General features: G+C 38.9%; 1 protein-coding gene across 8 annotated transcripts in view; it reads left to right on the forward strand.

Annotated features, from left to right (window-relative positions):
* The window catches only part of UBN2 (ubinuclein 2), a 99192-nt gene that overhangs the window by 24567 nt on the left and 50303 nt on the right, over window positions 1–24322 (forward strand). For all 8 annotated transcript variants that reach the window (XM_011516003.3, NM_173569.4, XM_011516002.4 and 5 more), the window contains 10 exons: window positions 2685–2822; window positions 3464–3567; window positions 5449–5938; window positions 10530–10600; window positions 13591–13720; window positions 16519–16637; window positions 17494–17607; window positions 18128–18271; window positions 20294–20344; window positions 23515–23557. In XM_011516003.3, coding sequence (XP_011514305.1) covers window positions 2685–2822; window positions 3464–3567; window positions 5449–5938; window positions 10530–10600; window positions 13591–13720; window positions 16519–16637; window positions 17494–17607; window positions 18128–18271; window positions 20294–20344; window positions 23515–23557 — 1404 coding nt within the window. The remainder of the gene's footprint in view (window positions 1–2684; window positions 2823–3463; window positions 3568–5448; window positions 5939–10529; window positions 10601–13590; window positions 13721–16518; window positions 16638–17493; window positions 17608–18127; window positions 18272–20293; window positions 20345–23514; window positions 23558–24322) is intronic.

Below are 24322 nucleotides of genomic sequence, written 5' to 3' on the forward strand. Positions count from 1 at the left end.
AAGATTATTTTTAGTCTCATATTTATGCTACCAAACTGTAAAAGAGCTGAAAGAAAATGTTTTGTTTATTATTAATAAATAATGATACCAGGCATGATTCACACACTTTTATTTAGATAGTCTCTTTTAAATTTCACTAGAACTTTGTGAAGTAATATTGTCCCTGTTTTATAACCCTCCAAATTTGATGTTAAGTGATTTTCCCTGGGTCACAGTAGCTAGTCATAGGCAAAGAATCTAAATCCAGGCCTTTTGATTCTTAAGTTCAGTGTGTTACCTCTTAACACATTCTACTGAAATGACTGAACTAAATATTCACAAAGAGTGTATTCCTCTGAAGAGTGTTCGGATAGGAAAAGCTCAGCAGAATACTGCATAAGAAAACAGACTTTGAGCACATCAGAATTGCCCTGTATACCTGGAGATGAACATGTTTCACTCCCACGTGAAGCTGCTTGGAAGAAAAAGGAATAGTAGCAGTGATCCTTAAATTTTTCTTAGCAGGTGATATATTTAGAATTTACTTTATTATTTCAGAAGTTTTTTTCTTACACCAAATTATCAGAACTAATTTTTATTTCAGATAGTAACCTTTTCTAAATTTATTTTACAATAAATTAGATGGGTTGGAGGCAGCCACTGACTTTGCCATAAACATATGTATAGAATTGCTTTGGTAAGGTGCTTACCTGGCTTTCATCTTTAAAGTGGGAGTAATATTTGCCTTTCTTACCTCACAAGGGTATCATGAGGACCAAATGAAATAATTTATATGAAGAAGTATTGAAAATTATAAAGCATTGTACAAAACAATGTAGGCAAAGAGTACAGGTGTTTTTATCTTATCACAGTTAGTTTTCGAAATTATTACTGTCTTTTCACATTTAATCCCTCACCCCTCATATCACTTATTTGCAGATGGTACTGCCCCTTTTCTGTAAGATCTTTATAATAGTGTAGATGTTTGTAGTAGATCTTTCTAGTAGTGTATCAAGTAGAACGATAAGAAAGTAGTTTTTTTCTTTTACCTTTCTTCAATCATTTTATTTCTTTTTAATTCAGTGTGATTAAACTGGAACCTCTTCATTTTTCCATTCTCCATATAATTGAAAAAGATACAGGTTAAAATTACAACTTTTGTACTTAGCCTTATATTCTTACAGTAACTAATAGGATATGTATATTCCTTGCCCATGGCAATGAAGTTTCCCTAAAAATCTGACTTTCTTAAAGACTAGTTAGATGATGTGAAGAACCTCGGAAGTAGAGGTCTAGAGATCCCAGGTAACAGATATCTTTCTACAATCAGATAAGTTCCTTTTTTCTTTCCTACTTTGAACACCTTCATTTGGTTAAGTTGTCCTTCACTTAGTGTTTGCTTTTTAGCCATCTTTATCAGGTGAGGTAATGATAAACCTTGAGATCTAGCCTTTGGGAACATAAGTGTGATTTAAACAAATTGAGTTCCTTGCTCCAAGCAAAGTACCTCCTCATTCTAGGTCCTCAAGTATGTGCTTTCTGAACTGGGCAGTTGTTTTTCTATGCTATTCAATTCTTTTAAAATATGTGCTATTCTTTTTCTAAAATATATTTGCTATTTTTCTTTCTTTTTCTCTTTCTTTTGAGACAGAGTCTCGCTGTGTCACCCAGTCTGGAGTGCAGTGGTATGATCTTGGCTCACTGCACCCTCCACCTCCCAGGTTCAAGCGATTCTCCTGCCTCAGCCTCCCAAGTAGCTGGGACTATAGGCACCCACCCCACCACGCCCGGCTAATTTTTTGTGTGTGTATTTTTAGTAGAGATGGGGTTTCACTATGTTGGCCAGGCTGGTCTTGAACTCCTGACCTCATGATCCACCTGCCTTGGCCTCCCAAAGTGCTGAGATTATAGGCGTGAGCCACCATGCCCGGCCTAAATTAAATGTTTTTAAAGTTTTCTCCACTTAAAAGCATACGGCTAAGACAGAAAAAATAGTTTCTGTTAAACAGAATGTTGTTGCTGTTTTTTGTTTTTTTAGACCGAGTTTCACTCTTGTGCAATGACGCAATCTTGGCTCACTGCAACCTCCACCACCTGGGTTCAAGGGATTCTCCTGTCTCAGCCTCCTGAGTCGCTGGGCTTACTACGCCCAGCTAATTTTTGGTATTTTCAGTCGAGACAGGATTTCACCATGTTGGCCAGGCTGGTCTCGAACTCCTGACCCCAGGTGATCCACCCGCCTCAGCCTCCCAACTGGGATTATAGGCGTGAGCCACCGCACCCAGCCAGTTTTGTTATTCTTTATAAAATCTCCTTATGGTAGGAAATGAAATTTACTCCTTATCTGGACACTTGGTCATCTTTTTAAACTTGATTTCTCATCAGAACCATTTGTCATTAAGAATAGTAGCAGTGGGAAGGAAGAAAAAGGAATAGTAGCAGTGATCCTTAAATTTTTCTTAGCAGGTGATATATTTAGAATATACTTTATTATTTCAGAAGTTTTTTTCTTACACCAAATTATCAGAACTAATTTTTATTTCAGATAGTAACCTTTTCTAAATTTATTTTACAAACATCCTTATTGCAGTCTGTGTTGCAGTTAGGATTTAAGGGAGATGCTGCCATGGTGGATGAATTTCTTTGACATTTATAGAGTTAAAGACAACAGGATATAGCGGAAACTTTTTTGTTTTTTAATCTAGTATGATGAATTAGTTCCCGCTTCTCTAACAACAAAATATGGAGGCTTTTATATCAACACTGGCACTCTACAGTTTCGCCAAGCTTCAGATACTGAAGAAGATGATATTACAGACAACCAAAAGCACAAGCCACCCAAGGTGAGTTTATCAAACATTGCAACAGTACTGAGAATGTTCAATTAATAGGATTTTTTTTAATGTTACTTGTGTCACACGTGTGAATGTAAGGAAAAGTAAAATACAAACCATTGTGTCATGAATATATAATTACATGCTTTAAAATTAAATTATGTAGATATTGGAAAATTGGTATTTACATCATAGAATTATATTTTCTTATAAAAACTTCTCTCTACAAATGTGGGCTAATAATTTACTGTTTCTGGGAGAAGGTTATATTTCTCGGATAGGTTAATATTAATAGCTGTTACCTTTCCTAAGATGTCATTTTTAACAAAATCTATAGAATTTGTATACATTGTCTTTGGGAAAGATATAGTGTCCTTGGATAAGTGTTTCTTGAAGTGTGGCCCAAAGACTTACTTACACCAGAATCACCAGAATGCTTGTTTAAAATGCAAATTATAAGGTTCTAACTCAGATAACTGAATCGAAACCGGAGGTGAGAGTGCTCTTGAACCCCAAGGATCTGCAGTTATAACAAACGATTGTAATGCACACTGACATTTGAGAAAAACCACTGCTGATGCTGGATTGCTAACATCAAAGAGTAAAGCATTGTTACTTACATAAATGATCATTCTTTTATCATTTTGCAGGTCCCCAAAATAAAAGAAGATGATATTGAGATGAAGAAGCGGAAGCGGAAAGAGGAAGGGGAAAAGGAGAAGAAGCCAAGGAAAAAAGTTCCCAAACAACTGGGGTACGTTAAATTAAACCTAAGAAGGGAACTGGCGTCACAGTCTGACTGTCTCTCCCTTTAGAAAGATATACTTACCATTAACTAATTCAACCTAGCTGAGTCTAATTTAGTACGTTATTGACATATTAGTGACTTATGTTTAATAGTATTGTAGTATTTGTTCTTAAGTAGAAGGCTTTGTCATCTTAGAGACTCCTAGTGTTTTAGGTGAAATGCTCATTACTACTTTTACCAACAAGAACCAGTTTGAAAAGATATTATAAACATTGAAAAAACTGTTCTAATCTTTTGGTACTAAAACTAAGTTTAGATGCCTGGGGAATGAGGATTGGCAGTAGCCTATATGTAAACAATTTATGGTTGTTTTAATATTAAAAATTTTGATTTGATTGATTTGAGACAGAGTCTCACTGTATCACCCAGGCTGAAGTGCAGTCCCACAATCTAGGCTCACTGCAACTCCCATCTCCTGGGTTCAAGTGATTGTTATGCCTCAGCCTCCCAAGTAGCTGGGATTACAGGTGTATGTCATCACACCCGGCTAATTTTTGTATTTTTAGTAGAGAATATTTTAGTAGTGAAACATGAGGGTTTCACCATGTTGGCCAGGCTGGTCTCAAACTCCTGACCTCAGGTATTCTGCCTCCCTCAGCCTCCCAAAGTGCTCGGATTACAGATGTGAGCCACTGCACCCAGCCAAAATTTTCATTGATTTTACATAGCTATTCTTTTTTTTTTTTCTCTTTTAGATAGGGTCTTGCTATGTCACCCAGGCTGGAGTGCACTGGCACAATCATGGCTCACTGCAGCCTCAACCTCCTGGGATCAAGGGATCCTCCTGCCTCAGCTACCTGAGTAGCTGGGACTATAGGCATGTACCACTATGCCTGGCTAATTTTTATATTTTTGTACAGATGGTGTTTCGCCATGTTATCTAGGCTGGTCTCGAACTCCTGGGCTCAAGTGATTCACCAGCCTCAGCCTCCGAAAGTGCTGAGATTACAGGCATGAGCCACTGCACACAGCCAGTATATAGCTATTATTAATGATATTGCTGCTAAAAAACAAATAGAATTTCTCAGAAGCCTTACATCAGAAGAATAAAATATTTGTATAATGCAGTCAAACATTACCAATTGCCTTGACTTCTCTGTGGCTTTTTTCACAGAGCTAAGGGAAAGACGCTTGTGAGAGGCTGAATTTTCTTACTCTACTTAGCAGTGGAGGTGCATCTGAATTTTGGGTTATCAATATCCATAAGATTGATGTCGGGCGTATTTCTCCCCTCCTAAAACTTGGGATTACAGTCATTAAGAAATTAGGAGGAAAAATGTGTATATTACTAATGGTTGTCTTAAATCTTCATTATTTACAAGTAGACTTCTTTGGGAATGTAGGCTATAAGTAATCCCTTTTATTGAGTGTATTGTTTTTCAACTTTATAACTTATTCATTTATTCAGCTAATATTTATTAAGTACCCTGCTGTATACCAGGCACTGATACAGGGTTTGGGTTGTATAACAGTGACTGAAACACGGGGCTGCCTTTAAGATGCTAATAACCTTTTAGGTTCTGTAGTGCACATAGAAGCATTTAAGCCATAGGATTTAGAAAAGATTTCTAGGAGGAAGTAATAGCTAAACTGAGCTGTTTCCCCATTTTCTTCACTGTAATGGCCATTTACCTATTTGCCTTTCGTGGGTGACATTCCAGATTATACTGAAGAAGGTGCTATTGTAATAGTATAAGTTAATAAGAAATTAAGAAAACTGCTCTGTCACCTGTCAAATTATTATTTTAATTCTGTGCCTGCTTATTTATGTGACACTTTAACGTTTAAAATCACACATAGCCTAACTGATCATTTTTGTCTTCACAGAGTTGTGGCTCTAAATTCACACAAGTCTGAAAAAAAGAAGAAACGTTATAAAGATTCTCTTTCTCTAGCTGCCATGATTAGAAAATTCCAGAAAGAGAAGGATGCATTAAAGAAGGAGTCTAACCCCAAAGTCCCAGTGACCTTGTCAACCCCTTCTCTGAATAAACCCCCATGTGCTGCTGCAGCACTGGGGAATGACGTCCCGGACTTAAATCTGAGCAGCGGTGATCCAGACCTTCCCATTTTTGTTAGCACAAATGAACATGAGCTGTTTCAGGAAGCTGAAAATGCCCTAGAGATGCTAGATGATTTTGACTTCGACAGATTACTGGATGCTGCTTCTGATGGTAGCCCCCTATCTGAGTCGGGGGGTGAAAATGGAACCACCACCCAGCCAACCTACACTTCTCAGGTTATGCCCAAAGTGGTACCTACACTCCCAGAGGGTCTACCTGTACTTCTTGAAAAACGTATCGAAGACCTTCGTGTAGTAAGTGTAATAATTCTCTTGCTTTTTATTTGCTGCACAAACATAAGAATTAATGCTTTTGTTCGTTTGTTTTTATTTTCCACATAACACTGGTATAATTGCTTTTGTTTTTTAAAGATAAAAATAATAAACTACAATCTGAACATTTTTATAACTTTTTATTTGCCATGTTTCCTTTTAGACCTTTCTTTTTTCTTTCTTTCTTTCTTTTTTTTTTTTTTTTAGTAGAGACGGGGTTTCACCGTGTTAGCCAGGATGGTCTCAATCTCCTGACCTTGTGATCCGCCTGCCTTGGCCTCCCAAAGTGCTGGGATTACAGGCGTGAGCCACCGCACCTGGTGTTTTATTTTATTTATTTATTTATTTATTTATTTTGAGACAAAGCCTTGCTCCGTCGTCACACAGGCTGGAGTGCAGTGGCGTGCTCTGCTCACTGCAACTTCTGCCTATTAGGTTCAAGAGATTCTCTTGCCTCAGCCTCCCAAATATCTGGGATTACAGGTGCGCACCATCTCCCCCGGCTAATTTTTGTATGCTTAGTAGAGATGGGGTTTCCCTATGTTGGCCAGGCTGGTCTTGAATTCCTGACCTCAAGTGATCTGCCTGCTTTGACCTCCCAAAGTGCTGGGATTACAGGTGTGACCCACTGCGCCCAGCCTAGACCTTTTCTCTTAAATAGAAATAACTGACTGGGCATGGTGGCACATGCATGTAATCCCAGCACTTTGGGAAGCCAAGGTGGGTGAACCACTTGAGGTCAGGAGTTTGAGACTAGCCTGGTCAATATGGTGAAACCCTGTCTCTACTAAAAATACAAAAAAAAATTAGGTGGGTGTGGTGGCGCGTGCCTGTAATCCCAGCTACTCAGAGGCTGAGGCAGGAGAATTGCTTGAACCTGGGAGGCAGAGGTTACAGTGAGCCGAGATTGCGCCACTGCACTCCATCCTGGGTGACAGAGCAAGACTCCATCTCAAAAAAAAAAAAAAAACCCAAATAAATAAATAGAAATAACTATAGTGATAACATCAATAGAGTTGGTTCTTTTATTATTAAACAGCGGGATTCACCTGACTCCAGAGTAGGTGGCATAGGTTTTTTTGTTATTCCATGTGGCCCCATCTCTACAATCTTAGTTTCTTTTAGGTTTTAAAAAGTGCTAATGATGTAATTCAGGTTTTTCAAGGTGTAATTATTCATAATAGCTATCGTTTATTTAGCAGGAACCAATCCTGTGTGTTAGTTCCTTATTTATAAGATAGGGACTGTAACACCAACTTTTTTGGCTGTTACGAAGGTTAAACATGGTGATGAGCATGAAGTCAGACACATGGTAGGCAGTAACGTGTATAGAAAATGAGACATCTCTTTCTGTCTCCTTTCTGTTACCTTGCAAATCACAGCAAGAATTAATAAACCTATGGATAATCAAAATACACAAGACATCCGAAGTATTTGCCTCATTTTGTGAATTTAGGAAGACAAATTATATGTATATATATCAAATATGAAAGAAGGGTGTGTATGCTAAATTTCAACACTCTTTAATTGCCTACTTTATGCCAGGTACTAAATTGCATACCAAGGATACAAAGTTAAGTGAATTATAGCCCTACCCTCAAGGAGCTTATTTTTTAGTAAATAAATATGGGAACAGTATCTTGTTTTTTAAACTGTGGATTGAGACTTATCAGTTGGTTGGAAATCACAATAGTAGGTAAAGGCCAGCATTTTTAAAAAATGAAATAAAAATGGTCAGGCACAGTGGCTCACACCTGTAATCCCAGCACTTTGGGAGGCCGAGGTGGGCGGATCACCTGAGGTCGGGAGTTTGAGACCAGCCTAGCCAACATGGTGAAACCCCATCTCTACTAAAAATACAAAAATTAGCCCCGCGTGGTGGCAGGCGCCTGTAATCCCAGCTAATTGGGAGGCTGAGGTGGGAGAATTGCTTGAACCCGGGAGGTGGAGGTTGCAGTGAGCATGCCACTGCACTCCAGCCTGAGCAACCAAGCAAGACTCCATCTCAAAAAAAAAAAAAAAAAATAGGAATACGTGCTAATACATCAAAAGTAGGTTCCAAAAGTATTGTATGACATTTTTGTTTATATACATGTGTGACTACTGGATAACTAAATCTAATTTTCTATAACTAGGTCATATAAAAAGTCTTAAGGTTATAAAGTTTAAAATTCCATCAGAAATTCTTCTAGGTGTTTTTACTCAAAGGAAATCTATTTTTTATTCACATTAGGCTTTGGTAAGTACTATATGCATCATGAAGAGATTATAACTTAATTTGCAGTTTGATACTTTTTATGACCTGTGATGATTATTGAATCTAAAAATAGTACTAATTTATTATTCACATTACTTTTTAAAAAATACTGTTTTTGCCTTCACCAAATCATCAGTTAAGTGACCTTTTAAAAAAATCGTTTATTTCAACAGTTGTACTATCAATTCCGTATTACTTTACTTATTCACTACATGTTTGGCTTTTTAACTTCCTCTTAGAGATTACCAACTCTACTGATTTTTTGTTGTTGTTGACTATATCTATGGTTATTTTTTTCCCCCAAAATATACTGCCTCCAGCCACACATTTCAGCTGGATCATTGACTGTATTCTGGTCAGCGATCCTCATGGAATGTAGCTAACTCTATTAATAATTATGATGTCAGTGACTCCTTAAAGGACAGAGTCATAGAGTCTGTCTTCTTGGATTCAAGTTAGATATGACACCAGATTCTTTTGTCTGCTCGTAGAAGTCTGCAACTTCAATGTGGGGGTTGATCACACGATTTGGACCTCTTTTTTTTGACCTACACTATTTTTGTTTGTTTGTTTTGAAATGGAGTCTTGCTCTGTCCCCAGGTTGGAGTGCAGTGGTACAATCTCAGCTCACTGCAACCTCCACCTCCCTGCAACCTCCGCCTCCCGGGTTCAAGCAATTCTCCTGCCTCAGCCTCCCAGGTAGCTGGGACTAGAAGGTGCATGCCACCACACCCAGCTAATTTTTGTATTTTTAGTAGAGACGGGGTTTCACCATGTTCGTTAGGATGTCTTGGTCTCTTGACCTCATGATCCACCCGCTTGGCCTGCCAAAGTGCTGGGATTACAAGTGTGAGCCACCATGCCTGGCCTACACTATTTTTTAATTAATACATATAAGATGTAGATATTTTTGGGGTACATGTCATAATTTGATACATTCATATGATCAAATCATGGTAATTGGGTTAGCCATCACCTTAAATATTTATCTTTATACCAGGAACATTTGAATTATTGTCTTCTAGCTATTTTGAAATGTGCCATCAATTATTTTTAACTGTAGCTACCCTACTGTGACCTATACTATTTCTAAATATCTTTGTATTTGATTCTAAAGACTCTTAATCTTGATGGGAATTGATTTTTTTGTTTTTTCATGTTCTTAGGATCACAACTTTTACAGATTTTTAAAATATTGGCCGGGCGCAGTGGCCCACACCTGTAATCCCAGCACTTTGGGAGGCTGAGGCAGGAGATCAAGACCATCCTGGCTAACACGATGAAATCCCGTCTCTACTGAAAATACACAAAATTAGCCAGGCGTGGTGACACACACCTGTAGTCCCAGCTACTTGGGAGGCTGAGGCAGGAGGATCACCTAAACCCGGGAGGTGGAGATTGCAGTAAGCCGAGATCGCGCCACTGCACTCCAGCCTGGGCGACAGAGTAAGACTCCGTCTCAAAAAAAAAGAAATTTCTGTATTAAGCCTTACAAAAGATATCCATATTCTAATCCTTGGAATCTGCGAATGTTATTTTATATGGCAAAAGAAGGGTGGAATCTGTGTGTGTGTGATTAAGTTAAGGATCTTGAGATGGGGTTGTTATCCTAGATTAGCCTATGGCCCATAAATGCAATCACTTGTATGCTTAGAAGAGGGAGGCAGAAGGAGGTGTTTTACACACACAGGAGAAGGTAATGTGAAGGGAGAGCCTAGAGGGATTTGAGGTTGGAATGCTGCGGCTGTGTCCAAAGAATGCTGGCAGCCACCAGAAGCTGGAAGAGGCAAGGAACAAGGTCTTCCCTAGAGCCTCTGGAGGGACCATGGGCCTGCTGACACCTTCATTTCAGCCCGGTGATATTGACTTTGGACTTTGGACTGAGGAAGGATAAATTTCTCTTTTTTCAAGCCAAAAAGTTTGTGGTAGTTTGCTATAATAGCTGCAGGAAACTTACACAATACCCAGCTGAATTTGAATCTCTCAAATGGCTTTGCCTCTCTGTTCATCACAACTCATTTGGTGTTCTACTGTTAGGAGATTCTTTTTTTTTTTTTCATTAGATGTTCATCTCAAAGTAATTGTTTATTGCAGCAGGGCACAGTGGTACATACCTGTAATCCCAGCTACTTGGGAAGCTGTAAGGTGGGAGGATTGCTTGAGCCCAGAAGTTTGATACCAACCTGGGCAACATAGAGAGGCCCTATCTCAAAAAAAAAAAAAAAAAAAGAAAAAAACCTTTGAACACGTGTCCTAAGAATGCAAAATAGAGTAATGGCCTATTTTGATTTATTATCATCTTTCTTGTTTCTTTAGGCTGCCAAACTTTTTGATGAAGAAGGAAGGAAAAAATTCTTTACACAGGATATGAATAATATTCTTCTGGAGTAAGTAATTTTCTTTAAAAAAAAAAACCTTAAGAATGATACATTAAAAAATGTAATAGGCCTTTGAGATACTGAGTGGTTGGCAAGTCTTGGGCATGAGTTCTTCCCCTTAAGCCTTACAGCATGTATGATTCACATTTGTTTCTCAGCAAAATTATCTTTCTGTATATATTGGTTTTCCTGGACCACTTAGGATAATCAAAGCTTCCAATAGTTACAACTGCCAGAGCAAGTGACGACTATGCAGGTTGGATATTAAGCTAGACTTAACGTACTTCATACCACCTTATATGAAAGTATCTTTCTGGGAAATGTTAGAGCGTTTATATACAGATTTGGCATGATTTTCCATCTACTTTTATTACTTACACTGGGGAATAGTAATTCCGTTGATATCTAGTGAGGTTGATTATAATTTGTACAAACTTTTATAGTCAAATGGAAAGTACAGTTTTATAAAGAAATTGTGGTTGTGAGGTAGGATAGAGATAATGTAGAGGAGATAGCAGTTAGATTGAGAATAAGAAGGTGAAGGTAGATATATAATATAGATTGTATTTAAATTAGCAAATTTTATATTTAACTTAGCAATAATTTTGCACTCAGAGTTTGATACTAATGAAGCTGTAGGTTCTAAGGTTGTGGTCAAATAAACTGAACTTATAAACCTTGTCCTTGACTTAGATTTTAACCATTGTTTACAAGAATCAGGTATATAATTGGATGCAGAACTGGGCAAAAAAGTAATCATGAGGAAAATAGCAAATTTTAGCCCTCTCTGGTGAAAATAATGTTTGCTTATTCTTAGTGGCTTAGTAGCATCATGTATTATAGAAAGACACGGGAAAGGTCAGGCATGGTGGCTCATGCCTGTAATCCCAACACTTTGGGAGGCCAAGGTGGGAGGATCACTTGAGCTGAGGAATTTGAGATCAGCTTGGGGAACATAGTGAAACTCCATTTCTATAAAATATACAGAAAAATTAGCCAGGTGTGGTAGTGCACACCTATCATGTCGGCTACTCAGGAGGCTGAGTTGGGAGGATTCATTAAGCCTGGGAGATTGAGCCTGCAGTGAACTGTGTTCATGCCACTGTACCCCAACCTGGGTGATAGGGTGAGACTCTGTCTCCAAAAAAAAAAAAAGAGAGAAAGAGAGAAGGAAAAGGGAAATAAAAGGAAAAGGAAAGTAATATTTATAATACTATGATTTCCATCTTTTAAATACATAATGGAGACAGTTTCTCATGAGATGTGAAGAAGGGCTGATTGATCATTGCTTCTGATAATGTTTGTAATTTATTACTGTCTATTATTTTGGAGTGCTTAAAAATAGACTCAGAAAATGTATAACTTAGTCTGCCGCTAGTATGGTGGCAGAGGAGTTTCTCATTTCTGTTCCTAGTTACTTTAACCAGGAATTTTCAGATGGAGTCTTTTCTGCGTGGCAGCCAGGCAACTGCTTTCTATCTACACCACCTCCTTTTACCTAGCTCCCTTTAAAACCCCGGACTCAGTGAACAGTGCAGCCATTACTTGTCAGAGCTGTCCCAGATTCCATAGTCAGGGATCTGACCAACTCTTCTTTTTCTTTCCACCTGGGAACCCGAAGTGTGATCAGGTCCTTCTCTTGTGACTGAGGCTGTTCTTTTTTATTTTGCTCTTCTGTAAAAGGGAACAACTGTTTCTCTCCGGGGAGAGTCAAAAGACCATCCTTGGGACATAGCATCTCAGATAAGCAGAGTATCAGCATTCCATTAACAGGCTTTCCTGTTTATTCCTCTCATGTCTATCTTAAAACGAATCTTCCCATTTTTTGGAGCCCATCTGCTTTTTATTTCACAGAGGGTATGCCTCCAGTTTCACAAGTACTAGTGTTCTGAGTTGAATTTTTTTTTTCCCTTTTAGTCACTTTCTTATTCCCTCAGCCTCTTTTTCCGCTTTCCTAAACAAACATGTCTTATTTTCTGTATTGAGTTGCCCTTCTAAGAGAATATGGAACATGATTATTTAGAGTAGGAACTCCCATGAAGCTATCCAGTTGTATTGGTGATGCCTTGCCATTGCTTCCTTATACTAGGGAAAAAAGAGATCAATTTGTTGGAATAGGGAACCCCCCCTTTTTTTCCTGATTGAATTTGACCCGGATCAATAAATATACAACATGCTGATGATTTCCTTGCCTACTACCTAGAGCAGACGTTGCTCATAAATGTTTTTTTCTTTTTTCTCTTTTGAGACAGGGTGTCACTCTGTTGCCCAGCCTGGAGCAGTGATGTGCTCATGGCTCACTGGCCTTGACCTGCCGGGCAATTGCCAGTGGGCCGAGGGGTAGTATAATATCTCTTTGAGGAAAGGAGCTTTTGGTTAATTACAAATTTATTGTGCTTTACCCAAAACCATAGAGTTTGCCCCTGTAACCCAAAAAATATTTCCAGCTTGTTCATGGTTATTGAAGTTCTACTCTTAAACTAGATTGATAGAATACTTTTATAGCATTACTATTTATTGGTATGGGGCTGGGCGCAGTGGCTCACACCTGTAATCCCACACTTTGGGATCAAAGGCCAAGGCGGGTGGATCATCTGAGGTCAGGAGTTCGAGACCAGCCTGACCAACATGGTGAAACCCCATCTCTACTAAAAATACAAAAAACTTAGCTGGGCATGGTGGCGGGTGCCTGTAATCCTGGCTACCTGGGAGGCTGAGGTAGGAGAATCACTTGAACCCAGGAGGTGGAGGTTCCAGTAAGCCGAGACTGCACCATTGCACTCCAACCTGGGCTACAAGAACAAAACTCTGTCTCTAAATAAATAAATAAATAAACTGTTTATTGCTATGGGTTTTTTTTTATTTTTTCCATGAAGAATACTGTTTAGGAAATCATGAAAAGATAAAATGAGAACAAGAACTGGCTTTGCTTTCTTGTCTGTGCAATGCCACCTAAAATAAATTCTATACTGTTCATTGTTGTTAACTTTTTTGGCCAGCATTGAGTTACAGCTACAAGAACTAGGCCCTGTCATTCGCAGTGGTGTCTACTCCCACCTTGAAGCTTTTGTGCCATGCAATAAAGAAACACTAGTAAAACGTCTGAAGAAGTTACATCTCAATGTCCAGGTAAGAGGAAGAACAATAATATCTACATCTTGGGTTTCATAACCTGTAAAGATACTTGTTTCTGTTTGGGGCCTTTGCACATTAATTGATTTATAGTCATATTGTATGTATTTAATAACCATAGGAGGTTATTAAAAGTATGTTGGATCCCCTGAAAAATAATTGCGTCTTCAACAATTGTTAAGTTTAGATGAGAAATGTTTTCTACGGCATAGATTGTTGGATGTAAGTTAATATAGTAGGTATGCTCTGACAAACAGTATTTTTTAATATAAGTACTCACCTTTTTTTTTTTCCTTTTGATACGGGGTCTTGCCCCGTTGCCCAGGCTGGAGTGCCGTGGCGTGAACATGGCTCTCACTGCAGCCTTAACCTCCTGGGCTCGAGCAGTCCTCCCACCTCAGCCTCCCAAGTAGCTAGGACTGCAGGCTGGCATCATTACCCTGGCCATTTTTTAATTTTTTTCTGTAGGGACAGGGTCTCACTGTGTTGCCGAGGCTGGTCTTGAATCCCTGGCATGTTTGAAGTTATTTAATATCCCTTTGGCTATGGAAGAAAGATATCTTATCCTTACTTTTCTTTATATGGTTTTATCACATATATTTGTATCCCTAAACATTATATTTAGTTTTGCATATTTTTGAGCTTCATATATATAAAGAAATACTGTCTGCTTTCTTCTGCAGCTTGTAATGCTCAATATTGTGCACCTGAGATTCATCTTATGTCTACATATAGCAGAAATACTTTTTTTTTTTTTTTTTTTGTGACAGAGTCTCGCTCAGCCCAGGCTGGAGTGCAGTGGCGCGATCTCAGCTCACTGCAACCACCATCTCCCAGGTTCAAGCAATTCTCCTGTCTCAGCCTCCCGAGTAGCTGTGATTACAGGCACCCGCCATCATGCCCAGCTAGTTTCCTATTTTAGTAAAGATGGGGTTTCTCCATGTTGGCCAGGCTGGGGTCTTGATCTCCTGACCTCAGGTGATCCGCCCAGCTTGGCCTCCCAAAGTGCTAGGATTACAGGCGTGAGCCACCGTGCCTGGCCAGAAACACATTCATTTTTTACTGCTGGGTACACAGTGTTCCATTGTGTGAATATATCCCAATTAATTTGTCCATTTTACTACTTATGGATATTTGGGTTGTTTCCAGGCAGGTAGCCTAAGCTAAATAATTCTTCAAAAGTAATCATCTAGGAACCATGATACCAGATGTTCACTTTTTAATTTTTTTTTTTTGAGACAGAGTTTCACTCCTGTTGCCCAGGCTGGAGTGCAGTGGCACGATCTCGGCTCACCACAACCTCCACCTCCTGGGTTCAAGTGACTATCCTGCCTCAGCCTCCTGAGTAGCTGGGATTACAGGCATGTGCCACCACGCCCAGATAATTTTGTATTTTTAGTAGAGACGGGATTTCTCCATGTTTAGTAGAGACAGGGTTGGTAGAGACAGGGTTCTCCATTCTCCAGGCTGGTCTCGAACTCCCGACCTCAGGTGATCTGCCTGCCTTGGCCTCCTAAAGTACTGGGATTACAGGCGTGAGCCACTGCGCCTGGCCAGATGTTCACATTTTTAAACATAGGATTTTGTCATATGTGCTATAATATTTATTTACTGGTGTTCGTGGAATAGGTTAATATACACATTTTTAAACATGGGATTTTATGTTATATGTGCTGTAATATTTACTGGTGTTCATGGAATAGGTTAATATGCTTATTTGTAATATTTGTGTTTTAAAAATCTTTTTCTTTACCAAAAATCACATTTTAAAAACAGTTGTTTTGGCTGAGTGGCTCACGCCTGTAATCCGAGCACTTTGGGAGGCCGAGGCAGGCAGATCACTTGAGGCCAGGAGTTCGAGACCAGCCTGGCCAACATGGCAAAACCCTGTCCTACTAAAAATAGAAATATTTGTTGGGTGTGGTGGCACACACCTGTAGTCCCAGCTACTCGGGTGGCTGAGGCACGATAATCACTTGAACCCAGAAGGCGGAGGTTGCAGTGAGCCAAGATGGTGCCACTGCACTCCAGCCTGTGTGACAGCGAGACTCTGTCTCCAAAAAAAAAAAAAAAATTGTTTCAGTAAAGAAAAGTCTTATAATATTTCTGCACCTATGATGGTGATAAAAGTATGTTTTAAGTAGTTACATATATACTTGTAAGATGCTTGTAAGATGAAAGTAATAAATTGGTTGATTAAAACTGTCAGATGCAAACCTACTTTCTTTTTTGCCCTGAAAACGCACATGAATAAGAGTTTTTGGGTTCCTTTCACTTTGGCCTTGACCTTGCATTTTTACTTGCAGCCTAAGTCAAAATTACTAACCATAACTGAGAGAACAGGATACCAACGTCCGGTTGGTAGTCACCCAAACCAAACACGTGTCTTCGTGTTCCAGAGCAGTGTCTATTCTTAGGGTACTGGTTTCCCATCACAATGGAAATTAACCAGTAGTAGTCTATACAAGTAGAATACAATGATTTTGTTTTCCGTTTTCTGTATGAAAGTGTTCACGGGGCATTTTGAAGAGTGTAATGGAACACTATTAATAATTATGCTGGGCGACAGGGAAAAACTGGAACTCTTCTTGGCTAACTGGAATATGTCATTCTAATTTTGTATCCAGTGTGTCTTAGGAAAAGTCAGTGCTGTAGAAGAAATGTCCATATTTAGATATGCTAATATTTCAAATCTATAATTGGTATCTAAAACATAAATTTTATCTTTTGAGGACCTGCTTACAAGATTTCGTAAATATGTCTGATAAAAACTTCTAGTATGTTTTTCTTTTTAGGATGATCGTTTAAGAGAACCTCTGCAAAAACTGAAACTGGCTGTTAGCAATGTCATGCCTGAACAGCTATTTAAATACCAGGAGGACTGCCAGGCTCGTAGTCAAGCTAAGTGTGCCAAGTATGTATCTCTTCTATTTGGACTGGCTTTTGCATTTGAGAAGTGTATGTACGTTATGTATGTATGTATGTATGTATGTATGTATGTATGTATGTATGTATTTTGAGACGGAATCTCAGTCTGTTGCCCAGGCTGGAGTGGAATGGTACGATTTCGGCTCAGTACAACCTCCGCCTCCCGGGTTCAAGCCATTCTCCTGCCTCAGCCTCACAAGTAGCTGGGATTACAGACACGTGCCACCACACCAGGCTAATTTTTGTATTTTTAGTAGAGACAGGGTTTCACCATGTTGACCAGGCTGGTCTCAAACTCCTGACCTCAGGTGATCCAGCTGCCTCAGCCTCCCAAAGTGCTGGGATTACAGGCGTGGGCCACTGCACCTGGACGTGCATTTGAGAAGTACTTTTAGCTGTTCTGATGTTAAGTGGACCTCATTCTCAAGTAGAAATCCACATATACTGCTGACTTGATATAATTGAGTATTTTGTAAATGGCACTCAGTTGCTTTGCAGTCAGAGACAAAAGGTGTCTGTTGATTGATTGTATGGAGGTGATCAAGCAAGAGCTGACACTGGTGAGAGATTTCACAACCCCAGCTTGACTGACTGTGGTTGAACACAAGTGTTTTCTGACCTAAAAGGTGAATGTTGGTGCCTTTACATTATAATCTGAAGTCCTTATTTACCAAACTACTTTATAACTCCTTTCAAATTTGAAGTATTATGTGGAAAGGTAGATTCCGTCTTTACCCTCTCTTTTAACATTCCATTAAGCAATTCAGCAAGTATTTATGGAGCATATTATATAGGCAGTGTTGGGTTAAAAGTTTGTTTTGTAAAGTGTTTTTCATTTTTAGATTGCAGACAGATGAAGAACGAGAAAAAAATGGATCTGAAGAGGATGATGATGAGAAACCAGGAAAACGTGTCATAGGACCAAGAAAGAAATTCCACTGGGATGACACTATCAGGTAAGATTTAATTAGTTTTCACTTTTAATATATAATGCAGAAGTAAGATTCCTCATTAAAAAAAAATCTATAATAAATATAAAACTAGATTGGAAGCAACCAAAGATTAGTGTGTAGGAAAAAATTATTCAAGAGAAGATTAATTGGGCTCTAATATCCTCAGAGTATTATTGCTTTTATTTTCATATACACTGTAATACTTTTTACAAACTAATCTAATAATGGTGTAAGTCATACTGGTTTCAGAAGGTGAAGTACTTTCAACATATTTCTTCTTTAGCCATCTTTCTCAATAGTATTTCTATACCCCAAGTAGAGAACCATCCCTTTCAATCTTTGGTGCTTTGATTAAAGATATCAAAGGAAATTGTTTCATATTGCAGGTTTGACTGTGGTGCAATGAATGATATATGTTAGAAATTGTTTGTTATTTTCTGAATTTTTCACATAATCTGTATTATTGCTGCCAAATGTATGTTCTTCTAAAAAAAGTTTCAAATTTAATTTTCAATCTGTTTAGAACTTTGTTATGTAACCTTGTTGAGATCAAATTGGGATGCTATGAGTTAGAACCAAATAAAAGCCAGTCTGCTGAAGATTATCTTAAGTCTTTTATGGAGACAGAAGTGAAGCCCCTGTGGCCTAAGGGCTGGATGCAGGCAAGGTAAGAAATGTGACTTACTGGATTTTATTTTATTTTATTATTATTGCTGTTATTAAAGATATACATACACATACACATATGTGACATTGATTTTGCTAAGAACCTAATATATTCAGCATGCTGTCTAGTCATCTCAGATGATCCTTGCTTTGAAAACCTTAAGCACTTAAATGACAAAACAGTCGCGCACACAGAGATAGATGTAAAGGTGATATTTTACTTAACATTTTTTTTAACACCCAAATTTGCTAGTAGAGAAAAAGAGAAGAGGGAAGACTCCCAAATGGTTATGAAGTTTGGGAGAGGAGCTTTATAGGGGTAACATGAAGATGAGGAACCTAATATGGGATTAGAGCATAGGAAAAGAGACACAGCCTTAGATTCTATTCAAAATAGTCAGTGTAGAGGCCAGGCACAGTGGCTTATGCCTGTAATCCCAGCACTTTGGGAGGCCAAGGCAGGTGGATCACCTGAGGTCGGGAGTTCAAGACCAGCCTGACCAACATGAAGAAACCTTGTCTCTACTAAAAATACAAAATTAGCCAGGCGTGGTGGCGCATGCCTGTTATCCCAGCTACTAGGGAGGCTGAGACAGGAGAATCGCTTGAACCCCAGAGGTGGAGGTTGTGGTGAGCCGAGATTGCACCATTGCACTCCAGCCTGGGCAACAAGAGCGAAACTCCGTCTCAAAAAAAAAAAAAAGAAAAAGAAAAAAGAAAATAGTCAGTGTAGGCCAGGTGCAGTGGTTCACACCTGTAATCTCAGCACTTTGGAAGGCCAAGGTGGGAGGATCACTTTGAGCCCCAGGAATCTGAGACCAGTCTCAAAAAATAAGTAAATAAATAAGAAAATATTCAGTGTAGAGAGATATCTCAAGAAACAAAGAGTCGCTCTGTTTAAAGTCTCAAGGGTTAAGAATGTGGCCCGTTGCGGTGGCTCACACCTGTAATAGCAGCACTTTGGGAGGCCGAGGCTGGTGGATCACCTGAGGTCCGGAGTTCAAGACCAGCCTGGCCAGCATGGTGAAACCCTGTATCTACTAAAAATACAAAAATTAGCTGGGCATGGTGGTGGGCACCTGTAATCCCAGCTACCCAGGAGGCTGAGGCAGGAAAATCACTTGAACCCGGGAGGCAGAGGTTACAGTGAGCCGAGATTGCACCATTGCACTCCACCTGGGCAACAAGAGCAAAACTCTGTCTCAAAAAAAAAAAAAAAAAAAAAAGTCGCTGGGCACGGTGGCTCACGCCTGTAATCCCAGCACTTTGGGAGGCCAAGGAGGGTGGATCACGAGGTCAGGAGATTGAGACCATCCTGGCTAACACGGTGAAACCCCGTCTCTACTAAAAATAGAAAAAATTAGCCGGGCATGGTGGCGGGCACCTGTAGTCCCAGCTACTCGGGAGGCTGAGGCAGGAGAATGGCGTGAACCTGGGAGGCGGAGGTTGCAGTGAGCTGAGATCGTGCCACTGCACTCCAGCCTGGGTGACAGAGCGAGACTCTGTCTCAAAAAAAAAAAACGAGTTAAGTAAAAATTAATAAACTTGGCTAGTTCAACCCATGATTTTAATTAAATTGCTCCATCTTCTATCAACAGAAAAGATCTGTTGGCCAGGTGTGGTAGCTCACCCCTATAATCTCAGCACTTTAGGAGGCCAAGGGCCACAGTGAGAGGATTGCTTGAGGCCAGGGATTCAAGACCAGCCTGGGCAGCATAGTGAGACCCCTGACTCTGCAAAAAGTTTTAAAAATTAGCTGGGCATGGTGGCACACACCTGTAATTCCAGCTTCTTTGAAAGCTGAGTTGGGAGGACCATTTGAGCCCAGGAGGCCTAGGTTATAGTGAGCTATGAATAAAACTCTCCATAAAATAGATTATTGAGTATACTGTACCATTATAACTTTTACTTGGTAAATAAGCAGTAATAGTCTACTGAAAATTAAATTACTTTAAAAAATAAAACAATTATGTTACTATCTGCTATAAAGAAAATAATAATTGTGTTCTTTAAATTTTTCCAGAATGCTTTTTAAGGAAAGCCGGAGTGTTCATAATCATCTTACTTCTGCTCCGTGAGTAAATGCAGACTCCAGATTGCTTCATTTATTCACATTATGTGCTTTAGTGAACAAAAGTATCATTTATTAAATGCTAGTTGGAATAGGACTTAAAAAGATCATTTTGACCATTGACTATTTAGACTTCAGAACACATTTATCTATTGAAATAATTGTCAGGGTACTCTCTAAACACCTACTAAATCCACACTGTGACACATAATGGCCTGGGATTCTGGTAGTAGGGAAGCATGAAGGCTCAGGGATTTTCCTTTGTTCCTGGGCCTTCTACCTGCCAGTCTTTTTCTCCACCTCTTAATGTCCATCTGCATTTGTAATCTACAGCCCTCTGTGTCCTGAGTTTACCAGGACAGATCCATATGCACACCCACCCTCGCTGCACTGCAGAGTGTTTTATTCCACAAAATTAACCTATTCTTGAGGTCTTCTGTTCAAAACCGTGTATTTCCTTAGTGATGTGATTACTAGAGAAAGATCTTTTATCCCCTCCACATACAACAAAAAGGCAAGTTTTTTCTGTGGTCACCTTTTTGGTTGAATATTGGTCAATTCCAGAACAGTTTCATTTTTCCCTACAACGTAGGGCTACTTCTCTGTAGCCTGCAAGGGTGGCATTAACGGTTATTAAAGCCAGGCACAGTGGCTCGCGCCTGTAATCCCAGCACTTTGGGAGGCTGAGGCGGGTGGATCGCTTGAGCCCAGGAGTTTGAGACTGGCCCGGGCAACATGGCGAAACTCCATCTCTACAAAAACTATAAAAATTAGCCAGGCATGGTGTGTGTGCCTGTAGTCCCAGCTACTCAGGAGGCTGAGGTGGGAGGATGGCTTATGCCAGAGAGGCGGAGGTTGTAGTAAGTGGAGATCATGCCACCGCCCTCCAGCCTGGGGGACAGAACAGACCTTGTTTCCAGAAAAAAAAAAGGGGGGGGTTATTAAAATATAAAATTAGCAAGTTACTGAGAATTTACTGAACACTCTAATTCAATATTCTGCTGAGAGGTCTGTTTAATATCTTTTGGGCAACATTATAAAATTCCTACTCTCCTTGTATGCAGTTATATAGGAATTTTTTAGTTTTTAGGAAGGACAGTTCATTATTACGGTTGACCCTTGGAACAACACGGGAGTTAGGGATTTCACCCCCTCATCCCACACAGTCAGAAATCCATGTGTAACTTTCAGCTCTCCCAGAACTTCACTGCTAGTAGTCTACTGTTGACCTGAAGCCTTACTGATAACATAAATAGTTCATGAACACATTTTATATGTTTTATGTACAGTATACTGTATTCTTACAATAAAGTAAGCTAAAGAAAAGAAAATGTTAAGAAAATCATAAGGAAGAGAAATTATATTTACTATTCATTAGGTTGAAGTGAATCATCATAAAGGTCTTCATCCTCAGGGGTCAACTGTATATCAGAGATGCATTGAGTTGGTTGTGGTTTTTGGTTCTGTTTTTTTTAGTATAAATTCTAAGTTGTTTGGTTTCATATATTACAGGTTTACTTTGTTGCAAGAGTTTTTGTTGTCTTTGAAATAAATTTTATGTACATACGTATATGTTTGTGTCAGTGGTATTTTCGGCTTTAATTTCCCTATACAGTAGTCCCCCTTATCCTCAGACAATATACTCCAAGATGCCTGCAGTGGATGCCAAAACTGCAGACAGTACTGAACCCTACATAGACTATTTTTTCCTATACATACATTCCTATAATAGATTTTAGTTTACAAATTAGGCACAGTAAGAGATTAACAACAATAATAAAAGAGAACCGTTTAACAGTATACTATAATAAAAGTTATGTGAATGTGGTTTATCTCTATTTCTGGAATTTTCCATTTAATATTTTCAGACCTCAGTTGACCACAGGCAACTGAAACCGTGGAAATTGAAAACTGTGGATAAGGGGGGCTACTGTAGTTCTAAAGCCATATATACATTACAATTCAGGTACAAATAATGCATTCCTTTAATTCTAAAGGTGTTTACAAAAGATGTCTCCCTCTCTGTCTCTCTCTGGCTTTTTTTTTTTTTTTTTTGAGATGGAGTCTTGCTCTGTCGCCCAGGCTGGAGTTCAGTGGCACGATCTCAACTCGCTGCAACGTCCATCTCCCAGGTTCAGGCAATTCTCCTGCCTCAGCCTCCTGAGTAGCTGGGACTACAGGCGTGCGCCACCACGCCTGGCTAATGTTTGTATTTTTAGTAGAGACAGGGTTTCACCATGTTGGCCAGGCTGGTCTCAAACTCCTGGCCTCACGTGATCCGCCTGCCTCAGCCCAAAGTGCTAGCATTACAGGCATGAGCCACTGCACCCAGCCTCCTTCTCCCTTTTTTTAAATAGCTTCATTATTATCATTAACTTTGTGTTTTGTTTAACTTTGTGTTTTGTTTTGTACCAGAAAGTAGGAATCTATGGGATAAGTGGGCCTAGAGGTCGTTTCCCTAAATGGCCTTCATAAAAAAAAAAAACATAGAAAATTACTGTTGCCTAAATGAAGTTGTAAATTGACAGTTTTAATCAAGATTCTTGTTAATCTAATTGATGACATTTTAGCCAAGTGAAATAGGCAAGGTGAAGTATTTTAGCTTGTCAACAATTTAATTATTCAACAAACATTTGAATACTTTGACTTACTATGGAACTTGTTCTTTTTTTTCATCTTCAAACTTTTTCTTAGTTTTCCAAAAGTTTCAAGATTCCATAGTAATTTTTCTTGCCCTTTTTCTCCCTGTCATTTTGACATTTTTTATTTGAATTTTTACATTACAAAAATTTTTCTTTAAAAGCTCAGGGTTTTTTTTGTTTTGGTTAAGTTAAATCTCATTCACACCTTCTTGGCATGGTTTAATTTGAGCCTGCGGTTCCTTGAAGCTCTTTTTTTGGGGGGGCTATTTTATGGTTTATTTACATTTAATTTTTTAAAAATTGTATTATCTACATTTCATGTTTTACTAGTTGTTTGGCCTTTCAATTAATCTGAATTGGGGAAAATGTTGCTACATACTTCGTATAAACTGAGCACTTAAATACGGTTCCTTCAAAGAGCTTTCCAAATAGCAGAAGGAATTATTTACCACATAATTACAAAGCTATATAACTTTCTAATGAGCAATATAACTGCTACTGAAATAGCCTTTTAAAATCTTTTTATCTTAGGGCAAAGAAAAAGGTGATTCCTGCACCTAAACCCAAAGTAAAGGTAAGTACTGAAACAAAATATTTAATTAGTTATAGTTGGTGAATGTTGAAATACATTCCTAAGATGAAAAAGATGTATGGTATTTAGCAGAGGTCAGTAGGCACTATAAGATAGATGTTTTCAACTTCATAATAATCTTAGTACTTTTGTATTTGGGAGAATAGATTCCTGTGTAGCAGTGGGGAATATGCATACACCAATTGTGAAGCTTAACTTTATTAATACTTGGAAATGCTAGGTAAAATACAACAAATATTCTTTCATAGCATAGGTGAGATTGAAAAATATGTAAGAAAAATTCATAAGACCAGAAACAAAAAAGGAGCTGACAGTGTTAATCTGTCGCTTACACTTTGGTTGCCCTTGGAGGCATTTGGCACTTTCTACCCATCACTTTATGGTTTCTTTTTACGTTTCTTCTCAGAGCATAGCAGTTAGGGTTTTCTTGGGCTTGTACAGGTTAAAACTTGGGATGAAATCTGTGTAAAGCTGGACCTTCAAACAATAACATCTTTAGTAAAAGAAAGGACTAGAAAGAAATCCAGCAACCAGCAGAGACATTAAGTGGCTGTCTTGGACTGGGTTCTGGTTTGGGGGAAGAATGTCCTTGCTGAAAAATTTTCTTGGCTTAGGAGTTTCAGTTACACTACCTCTACAATCTGAGAAAACGCCAAGCTGAAAAAGTAGCTTGGTTACTGGATTAGTAGTGACCCGGGGCCACTGGCAAAAGCAAATTCTCTTTGGTATAACGTGCCCTCTTCAGAG

Source organism: Homo sapiens, chromosome 7 (genome assembly GCF_000001405.40).
Source record: "Homo sapiens chromosome 7, GRCh38.p14 Primary Assembly".
NCBI classification, from domain to species: Eukaryota; Metazoa; Chordata; class Mammalia; order Primates; family Hominidae; genus Homo; species Homo sapiens.